At 44.2% G+C, this 12,200-nt stretch overlaps 1 protein-coding gene and 1 long non-coding RNA gene across 3 annotated transcripts in view, besides 1 other annotated feature; one reads left to right on the forward strand and one right to left on the reverse strand.

Moving 5' to 3' along the window:
- Window positions 1–12,200, forward strand: part of GNG12-AS1 (GNG12, DIRAS3 and WLS antisense RNA 1) — a 370,700-nt gene that overhangs the window by 278,392 nt on the left and 80,108 nt on the right. Inside the window, exons 7-8 of the long non-coding RNA NR_040077.1 lie at window positions 6,772–7,053; window positions 10,446–10,562. This is a non-coding gene — a long non-coding RNA (GNG12, DIRAS3 and WLS antisense RNA 1). The remainder of the gene's footprint in view (window positions 1–6,771; window positions 7,054–10,445; window positions 10,563–12,200) is intronic.
- WLS (Wnt ligand secretion mediator) overlaps window positions 1–12,200 on the reverse strand; it is a 134,088-nt gene that overhangs the window by 12,221 nt on the left and 109,667 nt on the right. The window lies entirely within an intron of this gene.
- Window positions 5,987–6,281: a silencer, noted in NCBI's record as "tiled region #5584; HepG2 Repressive non-DNase unmatched - State 4:PromP". NCBI's record gives its function as "represses a minimal TATA promoter and a strong SV40 promoter by Sharpr-MPRA in HepG2 cells {active_cell/tissue: HepG2}" and the evidence as "EXISTENCE:reporter gene assay evidence [ECO:0000049][PMID:27701403]".

The following is a 12,200-nucleotide window of genomic DNA, read 5'->3' on the forward strand; positions in this document are numbered from 1 at the left end:
TCTCTCTCTCTCCATATATATATGTGTGTGTATGTGTATGTATATATATGTTTGTATATATATGTGTGTATATATATATATATTTGCTCGATAAAGGATATTGTGTTGTAGATCATGAGTGGCTTATTCAATAAATGGTGCTGAGAGCATTAGTTATCCATATAGGAAAAAAATTAAAGAGGCTCCTTATTCTCTTACATACAAAAATTAATTTTTGATGGAACAGAATCTTAAATATGGAAGGCAAAGTCTTAAAACTTTTTGAAGAAATTTAGAATATTTTTATAATCTTGAAATTTATTTAAAGAATTTTTTTGAAAGACACAAGTACCCATTAAAAAAGAAAACATTGGTAAATCAACTACACAAATCATCAAAGATACCATAAATGAAAACATAAGGAATTCATATCTAGATTAATCTTGACCGTGGTCTTAAGACTTCCAGCCTCCTGAATAGTAGGAAGTAAATGTCTGTTGTTTAAGCCACTCCATCTATAGTATTTTTGTTATAGTAGCCTGAGCTAAGACAGCTTTATATAAGCCTTTGGGGACCATAGATGAACTACATCACTTGGTTCTAGCATGTTCTGTGGTTTCAATGCAGAAACCTAGAGAATAACTAAGGCTGGGAGAAAGAAGGACCACACTGGTGGGAGAAGCTGGTGACAAGTGGTAAGGAGTGGGCAACCTGGGTACTAATTCTTGTTTTTTCTTCCCCAGCCTTGTGGTCTTGGCCAAATCACCGGGCCTGCTGTCTTTTCTGTAGAGAGAAGGGCTGCTCGGTTCTCATTTGGATTCAACCTTTCCAATGCAGCATTTAAACACGGAGGAGGGATTTTTTTGGTTGTCACAAGGACTGGGGGACCCTGCTGGCTAAATATCCTCCAATGTGTGAGACAGTTGCACCCTAAATGCCAGTGTGCCCCTATTGAGAAACATCCTCTCTATAACAGTCCTTTGAACGAGCCCTTTACATCTCTCTACACATACATGATGTTTGCTGGTGGGTCGGGAAACATTTGGATACTTTATGAAGCATGCAGGTCTCCACCCAAACCCACAGGTCAGATGGCTGCTGTCCAAACTTTAGGATCTTTAGGGCTGCAGATGAGATGCTCTGTTCTGGTGTATGTCCTGCTTGGGGGGCTGCCCCTCCTTGCCAGAAGAAGATTTAGTTGAATTCAATTGAAGTGTACTATTACCAACCATTTGCTCCCTTGTTCTGACAGCCAGCAGGAGCAGAAAACTGGCTTGCTCTGGTACTAACTGCATTCTCAGAACCGTGCATGCAGTGCTTTATCGTTCTGTTCAAAGCTAAGCAGTGCCCTCCTTGGGACACTCTGGGAATGTACAGTATTCATTGCTCTAAGAAAATGCCTTGGCCACAAGGAGAAAACATTCGCTGGCTGTGGCTTGAGCCAACTGGGTCAGCGCCAGCCTGTGCAGATGTCTTTGTGGACAGAGAAGAAGTCCCTCTGGGAGAAGGCAGCCCATGCTAGGGTGCATAGATTGATGAGAGGAGTGACAACTGTATTTCTGTCCTTACTTGCTCTCCTGGCCAGGTGCTCTTATGCAGTGCACTAGCTGTACAACAGTACCTACTGGCTGGACCCTCTCATTCTCTACCAATTCAGCAGTCTCCTCTTGGCTTCATTCAGGAGGCTGTCTCCCCATGGTTGCCTGAACCCAAAAGCAAAATGTGTGGGTCCCACCTACTTCTCACGCTCTAGTTCTAAAGAATGGGCCCAGGTGTCCAGCCTCCACGGCCTGACATTCAATGCTGTGTACACTCCGGTTCCAAGTTGCTTTTCTACTCACTGCACCCCAGACTCTCTGCTAAACAGGCTACTTTAGTCATTGCCACCCAAATAATGCTTGTGAAGTTGCATCTCCACACTCTCATACTCTTCCCTTACCCTCACCTTTTATCCAACTCTTTCAAGGCTCGGCTCATTTTCAGTCTTCTGGGAAGCCCTCTCAATTGCCCCCAATCAGGAGTTACTGAAAAGTGTCCTTGTACCTCCCATTGGTCACCGACTGCACGGTTCATGTATTGGGAACCTTGATTGTTAAGAAGATTTTAAGTTCCTTGAAGGTGGAAACCTAATGAGAAGACTTGCCCTTCAGGCTCCTCTACTTAAGAATCATTCCAAGCAATTACCATGGAAACAAATATCTTCTCTTCCTGGCCTCTTGGACCAAAACAAACAGACAAACTGTTAAAGAGCAAGGAATTTGGCTCCCTGCCTAGGTTGGCAGTGAGAGCGTCAGAACAAGGTTGAGGCCAAATCCATGAACCTCATTTAGTTAGCTGCCCACGAACTTGGCTTGGAACGCCTTGGCCCCATCTTAAAGAAAGCCCTTCATTCTGGGGACGCTGGTCAGCCTGAGGCCCATGCTCCTTAGTCCCACCACAGGAAGCCTTCTCTCTCCATCTGTCACTCTGAGACCATATTGGCTGAAGCTCTGGGCTTACTCATATCCTGAGTCATCCAACCTCGCATGTCCGTAAAAATATCCGTATCCTTATAGGTGGAGGCCTTATAGATAGGTTGTTGAGTCAGATTTATGAGTTTGAGAAAGAGATGCTTTGGATGCAAAGGACCTTTGGTGAGTTTGCAGAAGCCCTGGACTCAAATCTACCACCACTCAGAACAGTGAATGCCAGAAAATTCCTGGAAAAGGGCATCTCTTTGCTGAATGACCCTAGTAATCTACTCATTCCCCAGGTAATTACTGAGCCACTCTGTGTTCCAGGCACAGTTCTAGTTTCTGGAAATATACCTGAGAACAAAACAGACAGAAATTCTGCCCTTATGAGCCTCCACTTCAGCTCCTGGCCAAGTCTGTTTTTCATATGATCCAAGCACTTTGGCAGGTGTTAGGGCTGTAAAAGGGATGGCATGGGACCCCCTTGGGTAGGGGACGTGGCAGACACATCTCTTAGAAATATTGCCGCAAGCCTCACTGTTCAAGTCTGGTGTGTGGAGCAGCTGCATCAGCACCTCCAGGGAGCATGTTAGAAATGCATCGTCTCAGGCCCTTCCCAAGCCCTTCTGAGTAAGAAACTGCACTTTACAATATGCTCCCAGGTGAACTGTCCGCAGGGAAAGGCTTGAAAAGCCTTGCTACAGGACAGCAAATCCCACAAGCTGTCCTACAGTGAAAGGGAGCAGAACGATAATGTGCATTTGAGAAAGAGTACATCCCATGCCTCAGATTTAGAAAGGTGGCGTGTTCAAGACTGAGATCTCCTCAGAAAGAAACATGCTTAAAAATCCAATGCTACTCAACTGTATTTGATGGCTCAACAACAAATCACCGACTGTAATCACTCAACAGAACCAGCATCCTGTGAAACACACCTTGAGAAACCAGTAGTGGACCTTCTGGCATTCCCGGATTCAACTTTCTTGGCTTCAATGACTGCAGATGGAGTGAGCCCATGGGGTGATAACTGGCAGTTTTGCTGAGGAACAAATCTGAATCATGCCTACTGCCAGGCTGAGGCTCTGGGCCAAGGTCTCAGCTTGGGATAGGGTGAGGATCAGAAGGCTGGAAAGATAGAGGGACTCGGAGACTGCCAGCTACTGGTTAACTTGTGGCATAAGGAGGATATATACAGAAAACACTGGATTCTATAGCTGAAATATGTCATTTGGAGAAATTTAGGAGCCAATATAAGCATTCCTTATTTGTCATTTCATGGGCTATATATATTCCACAGGTGTCAAGAATCTATAATGATGATGATGATGGCAAAGACAATGATAGATACCTTTTTAAAACTTACTATATGCCAAGCACTGTCCTAATTCATATGTTCCCAACAGCAATGCTAAGTGGTATAATCCTCATTTCTGCAGATGAAGAAATTGAGGCACAGAGCTGGCTCCTCGTTTTAATCCGTTTCATGCTAAATGTGACTTCTGAGACCTAGGTGACAGGCATCTGACTGGTGCAGACTAAACTGGCCAGATGATGGAGTGACCACTGGTCCCCTTTATCCCTCGAGCCAGCCCCTGAAGGCTGAGAGACTTGCTCAGAGCCCCGTCCCAGAAGTGGGCAAGATTCATATTTGTGCCTTAGCAAAACTGCCAGTTATCATACTATGGGCTTATTCCTTCTGGAATAGGGTAAAGCAAGAACAGAGAACCCCCTCTGGGGGTGCCACTTAGGTGTGAAGCAGCCCTAATTGGGCAGGTATAGGCTGGAGTGACCTCAGTGGTAGGCCTGGGAGGGGACACCTGGTTTGCTCTGGGGCAGTCGTAGAAGGCTCAGCACAGTGCTGGACTGCAGGTAGGACTAAGCTTGGATTATAAGGCCTGGGATCTTCTCATAATGCTGGTCTGCAGCCACTGTGTGGCCTGTGACAGGCCTTTCCCTGGGTCTCAGTCTTTGAAAATAATGATACACCCCCCACCACACCCGGTCATGGGTTGCACCTTGGGTTTCAACTCAATGACTGCTTTTCAGGAGGTCCCTCTGGGGCTCCTTAGGGTTATGGCTGCTCCAGGCTGGCAAATCCAGATCATGCAAGAGGTGGCTTAACCCTCTCCCTCTCAGGGACACGAAGAAGATCTGTTGCTTCCAGATTGCACCAACACACATGCCTAGAACCCCAGTAATGAAGCTGGAACCTCTGCTGTGTGGTCAGACAAACCCAAGGATAAATTGCCCCTGCTTCTTGGGATGACACTAGGAATTCGCCATTCTTCACGAGGCAGTCCCTGGGGCCTAGAGCCAATTCATTCAGTTTAACATTCCCTCCCTTTGAGACAAAGTATAGGGTGGTGATAATGAAGTCAGTCGGGCACAGCCTTGAGTGCTGGCTGTGTGACACAGGGCAAGTCACTCAACCTCTCTGAGCTCCAGCATGCTCATTGGTAATTGGTATAAATGAAAGTACCTATATCATGGGACTACTGTGAGGTGCCAGCACATTATCAGTGCTTTGTAAAGAGCCGCTATTACTCTTGTTGTTGCTTGGACATTTGTTATGAGGGGGGAATACTTTTTAAAATTTGCTTTTTAAAAACATCAACAAATTTCTGAAGGCATTTTCAAATGAGACTTTAAAATATGTTTTTCTCTTCTTATAAAGTTAAAATTTTTGTATGAGGTTAGGCATAATTTTTTTTTGTTTTAAATTAACAAATAGCAATCAAGGGCTTCTAAGCAATTCCAAGGACCCCCTTGCTGCTCTATTCCACTAGTCTTCCACCCTCTCCCTCCTGGCAGCAGTCGTTGGCATTTTTGTATGTCTCACCCTGGAGGCTGGCAAGCTCTGCACCTCCTGGTCGGGAGCTTCCAGCTCTCCCCTGCAGCTGTCCTGAATTCCTCTTGCTGTAGGTTGTCCCTTTGTCCCAGAGCACTCACCCTAACAGGGAAGTCCCTCATTTCTTCATTAACTTCCAGGTTGCTCCCTCCCCATTAATGCTGAGCTGGAGAAGCAGGGTTCACAGGACCTTACAATAGGGACCAGGAGCAGCAGCTCGGAGATTCAGGCCGCCTTTGGCTTCCTTGACCCTCCTGTACCCAGGGCCAGCATCAGGGAGGGAGGAAGAGGACAGGGACAACAATCAGCAGGGCCCGTGTAAGCATACACTTCTTATGGATGACTCCTCTGACAACCACACGGGGTAAGGCCAGGCTCACGGTCACACAGTGGCTGAGCCAGAAGATCAGTGTTTTTGCTTTTCCATCTAATAATGGCTCCGTCTATACAAAATTTTGGGCAGGAAGGGCAATGCATCTATCAGAACTCATTGGTGACAGGCGCAGCAGGAGCTAAATTGGCTGAGTTGAACCAGGCTGTTACTTCCTAGCTGTGTGACCTTAGGGAAATCACCCAAGCTCTCTGTGCCAACAATTGTGCCTACCTCATAGGATTCATTTAAGGATTAAAGAAGTTGATAAATATCAAGTGATTAAAATCCTACCTGGCACATCCATAGCAGGGATTCTACATGCTAGATATTTTAATTGTTGTTAAGCCTCATGAAGGCAGGAGTCTTTGTCTATGTTGGTTATTGGTCTGTGTTAGAACAGTGCCTGGTACTTAATAGGGGCTCTATAAACAGTTGTTGGGTGAATGAATCTATTTCTTTCAAGATAAAAACTCTTTTGCAATGCAGCCATTGTTTATCTTGGCCAGCAGAGGGCAGCAAATAGCTGTGGACTGATTAATTGTGGACAAGGGTGGTTTTAATTTTGAAGGCTAACAGAACTGTCCCTCCTGAGCCAGTTAGGGAAATAAAAGGTTGCCATGAACCTGTACGACTGGCCCCGACCCCTCCCACTCACCTTTGTGCAGGTTAGAATGATTGTCAGGCATTCAACTCACAAAAAATCTTGGTTCCATTTCTTCTCAACTTACTTTCAATTTCCTTCCTCCCTCCCTCCCTCTATCCCTGCTTTTCCTCCTTTCTCCGTTTTCTCTAATCATATTTCCCCCTGCCCCCACACTCACTCCTCTGCATCAAGCTAGTATACTGTACACACTCCCAAACTTTATCTGTACAATTGCAGCTTGTACTGCAAACCATGACATCTAGAGTGGATCCTTATACAGTATTCTTCCCAACCAATGAATGCTGCTAAACCTAGTATAATTTTTTAAACAACATGTAATTTGATAACTAGACCCAGAGAGGTACTATAGCTTGGCCAAGAACACACAGCAATTAGGGGTAACGTTAGAGCCCTAGCCAAGGCCTTCTGCTGTCCATTATACAGCCTCATCACACATGTTCTCTTTTGCCAACAGGAGGCTCGTGTGGTCCCTGTTTGTCATCCAGTCAATACGGCCATCAGCTTCTGGCCCCAGACACCTTTCCTCTGCACTGTGGCACAGAGGAGCAGACTGCTTTGGAGGGCAGCTTCCTGGGAGCTCCAGGGACCCTGGCCAGGCGGCCACTGCCACTGACTTCCTCGGCTCACTGAGCCCGTGCCTGCAGCTCTCGTGTTTCCTCTGTGCTGCAGTGGACGCTTATCTTCCCCCGATGGCACATTTCTTTGTCACAGACAGGACCCTCACTGGCAGTCGGAGGTGAGTTCCCGGGGAGCTTCTGGGTCTTGTTGGTGCCTTCTGGCACCACTTGTGGATGGGATGGCTCTGACACCCAAGCCTCACCACTGCTCCGGGGGTAACCCAATGACATGATCTCCCCAGCTTGCTAGATCCTGTCCTTCCCAATTATGATCCAAAAAATCATGCTAGGATAACTGTCTGGAAAAAATATTTAATTGGTCTTCCAGCTGGGAAACAAATTCTATATGAATTGATGAGAAAAAAAAAACAGAATTTTTAAAACTAGAAAAAATGTGGGTGACCTATTATCTTAGGGGATATTTCTTTAAGCATGAAAGCAAAACTAGAAACTATAAAAGAAAAAATGTACAGGTTGACTACATAGAAAAAAGCTCTATATCCTGGTAAACATCCAAATCAAAATAAAAGCTAGTGACAAATGGAGAAAAGTTGAGCTACCCGTGTAACAGACAAAAGATAAATATACTAAATCAGACTCTCAAGAAAATGGATAAAGAATCTGAACTGACAACCTAAAAATATCAAGTCATAGGAACATGAAACATGCTCAGTGTTACTGGTAATGAAGTAAATGCAAAATTCAATTTCTGCATCTTGAAGTTGCAAATTTCAAAACTACGTAGTGTCAGTGAGGATGCGGGCCACAGCCTCTCTCATTCTGCTGTTGGCACAGTTCTGGAGGGCTCTGTATGCTTACAGGTGTCCATGATAAATGCTTTTCTGTGTAGCCTTCATCGCTATCACCTTACTATCTATTGCCTCCTCCCTCCCGCCTTCCTTTACCACACCAATATACTTCACAATGATAGGGATATTGTTTACTGATCTGCCCCAAATGCTTACAATAGCACCTGGCCCGGCTGGTTGTGGTGGCTCACGCCTGTAATCCCAACACTTTGGGAAGCCAAGACGGGCAAATCACAAGGTCAGGAGTTCGAGACCAGCCTGGCCAACATGGTGAAACCCCATCTCTACTAAAAATACAAAAAATTAGCTGGGCGTGGTGGCAGATGCCTGTAATCCCAGGCTACTCAGGAGGCTAAGGCAGGAGAATCACTTTGAACCCAGGAGGTGGAGATTGTAGTGAGCCGAGATCACGCCACTGCATTCCAGCCTGGGTGACGAGCAAGACTCTGTCTCAAAAAAAAAAAAAAAAAAAAAAAAAAAGCACCTGGCCCAATATTAGATGTTCAACATATGCTTATTGAATGAATAATTGATCTTTAACCCAGTAGTTCTTAGGAATTGATACTAAGGCAACAATCAGTGATGTACAAAAAAGATTTATATCCAAGGATGCTCATTTCAACATATATTGTAATAGTCAAACTTTGCAAACCACTGAAATGTCCAGTAAAAATTATGAACCATCCTTTTTAGAGACTATAATAGTAAAGTCATGAAAATCATGTTATAGAAGACAACACAATAACATAGAAAGATTTCCTAGATATATTTTGAAAAGGGCAGGTTATATAACTGTCCAGAAATTTATTTTCTATGTATAATACAATCTTAATGTATATAAATCTACACATATATGCATGGAAAAACTTGTGTAAGAACATACTGACATTTTAACAGTATTTATCTTTGGATAGAGTAATTGTAAAATGTTTACATGTTTTTCTTTACTCTTTCATGTATTTTTGCAGAGTTTCTGTGATAGGACCATTTTGTTTTTGAGACTGGATTAAAAACAATGTAGCAGAGGCCATGGGTGCCTCACCCATATTCCTCAAGCTGGCCCTAGTTCCAAGTAGCTAAGAGCCTGGCGGTGGCCCTCTACCTACAAAGGATGGGAGTGGAGTGGCTCTCTCTCACAGCTTCCTCAGCCCCAGGGGACAACTCTGCAGCATGTTCCTCACAGCTTGACAGAGGCCCTGGCCGTGCACCTTGGTGGCTGTTCTTTGCATTCCCTTCTTCTCAGCCTTGCTTCTCCATGCCACCTCAGTGCTTCCTGGAATCACCTTTCAAGCCAGCTACTTGCACACAAATCCTTGTCCCAGAGTCTGCTTTTAGGAGGAGCCCAGGCTAAAAGGCACAAACGCTGTTTTAAAAATCCTGCCCACTCCGTGTAAAGAACATCAGCCAAGCATGGTGCTATAGAAATAACTCCTATCTTGGCTGTTCCTGTGTGTAGTTCACTTTCAATCTCTCAGCATCCCTGAGTTGAAGAGAGATCTTGCTTAACTGGGAGGGAAGGCCAAGGGGTTTCTGGATACAGGAGCCACCTTGGGGATCTTAGAGCCTCAGAAGAGGCAAGGATGTACGTTATAAGAAGGGGCTGTCCAGATGATAAATGAAATTAATAAACCACCCCTGTGATGCCAGCACATGGCTCACAGCAGATCTGCATCAGGCGCCTACCATTGCCCTAGGATGCCATTAACACCTACTCTTCCTTATGAGGCTTAGAATCAGGGCTGCTGAGGACTTCAGAAATCATCTCATTCAGGTGGGGTGAAGGGGGTGGGTAGCTTCCCTGAGGGTCCCACAGCAAGAGTTAGAGACACAGCCAGGACCAGAACTTACTGAAAAGCAATAATCCAAGGTCTGACTTGGGTTCTGAGGATTTGCTCAGTTATAGATGTCATTCTCGATTTGGCCTGAAGAGGGCAGACACTTGCCATTCATGGAGGTGAAGAGCTTGTTTTTAAGGCTGGACTAACATCTCCCAATAAGGTCATTTGGTTCTAGTGAGAGTTGCAGCTCACAACATTCTTGACTCTTCTGCTGCAAATATGCTACTGGAAAGACACTGAAGTTCACAGACTGAAGTTCCTTTAGTTCCAACTCTGGCACTGTAATAGGTGACCTTGCACAGGTCACTTCACCTCTCTGAGTCTCACTTCTTGTGAAGTAAGATCTCTACTCCGTGACTGAGAAGGTGGTATTGGGGAGTGATATGTAACTTACAAAGTTGCATATTACAACACACATCACTGCTGTTAAGTTCTGTGTGTGTGTGTGTGTGTGTGTGCGCGCGCGCACATGTGCACACTCGTGATGGAGAGAGCTTGATAAAGGAGAGAGGCCTAGGCCAAAGGAGCTTTTTCTGGCCTCAGGTGAATATATATTTGTAAATTCTCTAGCAATTGGAACCAATTCACTTTGTACTTGGAAAAGACTTAACTGCTTTTACTTTATATTTCGAACTGTACTTTTTTAAAAGCTAAAGATGTCCCTTAACCTAACTGGTGTATGGGAAAAAATATACATAACAGGGATATATGTAAAGTTCTACCATTAAGTCAAAAATATTGCTGAATACAGAGAAGGTATTGGTAATACAAATTTTTAAAACTAAGTATTTAGTGGTTGCTTGGTCATGAGAAGCAAAAAAGTAAGAAGTGAGTATTTTTAAAAATCCTGTACCATTTTCCTAGGACATCAAGCCCTAGTACAGGAAGGGACATTTTCACACTAATCTGTGCCAGCTGGAGCAGTCCTGCCATCTGAACATCATATTTTGGAACCCTGAGAAGCTAGGATGCAGTTAACAGGTAAGTAGTAATGGGAGAACTTTCTAGAAACCATGTCTGGAGGAGGGGTTCAGGAGCTGAGATGCTGAGCCTGGGGTAGGGAAGACTTGAGTGGGGCAGGCCCTACAAAAAGGGGTTCCATCAATCCAAATAAGGAAAAGTCACAAAGGAAAGGTCTGGTCTCAATAGTGAAGGGCATTGTTCCCTGAGAGATCAGTGTGTTGTCACAGGAGACAGGAAGCTCTGAACACTTCAAGACATGCTTAGAAGGCCCCCCGATGTCAGCAGAAAAGGGGCTGCTAATGTCATCTCAGAAACCAAGTTATCCCCATGCAACAAAATCAATCACGTATCAAAACATGATGGAGAGACAGCCTGCAGAAGTCAGATGGTTCCCGGAGCACTACAGGATAAAAAGGACCTTGAAATACAGAAGACAAAGTACAGGCTCATGAATGTCTGGACACACCAGCAAATTGAGCCTGACCAACTGCACTGACATCCTGATGAGTCAGCTTGAATCAAGAAGATGGGTCCCAAATAACTCAGGGTCACGCAGCAGAGAGAGATGGGGATTAGTCAAGTGTGTTCACTCTCTCACCGACTCTTCCTGATTGAATTCCCACACTATGCTAGGCACTTTTTAGGGAGCTGTGTATATTTTCTTTGGAGGCACAGGGTTAGGCCATTATCTCTTCCAAGGACAGCAGTTTCTCTGTGAATTTATTCCTTGTCCACCAAAAACCTTCTATTTCCTCTTTTAGCCTCCATGGTTACCTGAAAATAGGAAGGAAGGAAGTCTACGATGATGGAGCCATAAGATATATGCATTCTTTACTGTAAAAGATCACACAGAAATTCTAGTTTATAGATTCCCCAATGTTACCATTCAGCCTTTGGAAGCCTGATTCAATTTGAAAGAGTAGATAAAATATAGTTTCTAGAACTGACAAGGTGAGGATGAGACCCAAGACCAGGGTGTGGCCACTACCATGTGAACACTGGGAGGTCCTCCAACCTCCCCTGACATTTCTCTTGAACTTCTCAAAGTTACCTGCTTGGACCCCAGGGGTATGAGTTCCAAGGGCCCGATCAGCTATGAGATTATAGGCTGAACTCAGGCATCAGAATTGTTAGAGCTTTATCTCAGTTCTGAGAAATGGTTAAAACCACCCTTGGGCAGTCACACGTGGAATCACTTATTTCATTACTATGGACATTTTCTTGTAGGAACAATACATAGTGAAAATCCACTGGGATAACCAACATAAAACTGATTTTGTTTTCAGTTTGATATAGCAATTGCATTTTATTTGTTTGTTGTAAGTATTGGTAAACTTTCTTATTTTTTAAAAACAGACATCTGTAAAATTATATACTTTTTTCCTATAATATCCTTTAAAGCTGCTTGAAAAATGTTTATTATGACAATGTATAAAACTGGTATACATGGCCAATAATAAATTTTTTCTCTAGGTTGATGGTCCTTACTAAAAGCATTTTCTCACCTCTTGAGTTTCCACTTCTCTTTCCACTGATTGAAATGGGTTGCATCCAACCTGCATTCTTGAAATGGAGACTTCTTTAGTGAAACTCCAACACCCACTACACATCGGTGGAGAAGGCAGAACAGCCAGGGGACATACTGCAACCCCTCTC

The sequence above is a fragment of the Homo sapiens genome, chromosome 1 (genome assembly GCF_000001405.40).
Source record: "Homo sapiens chromosome 1, GRCh38.p14 Primary Assembly".
NCBI lineage: Eukaryota > Metazoa > Chordata > Mammalia > Primates > Hominidae > Homo > Homo sapiens.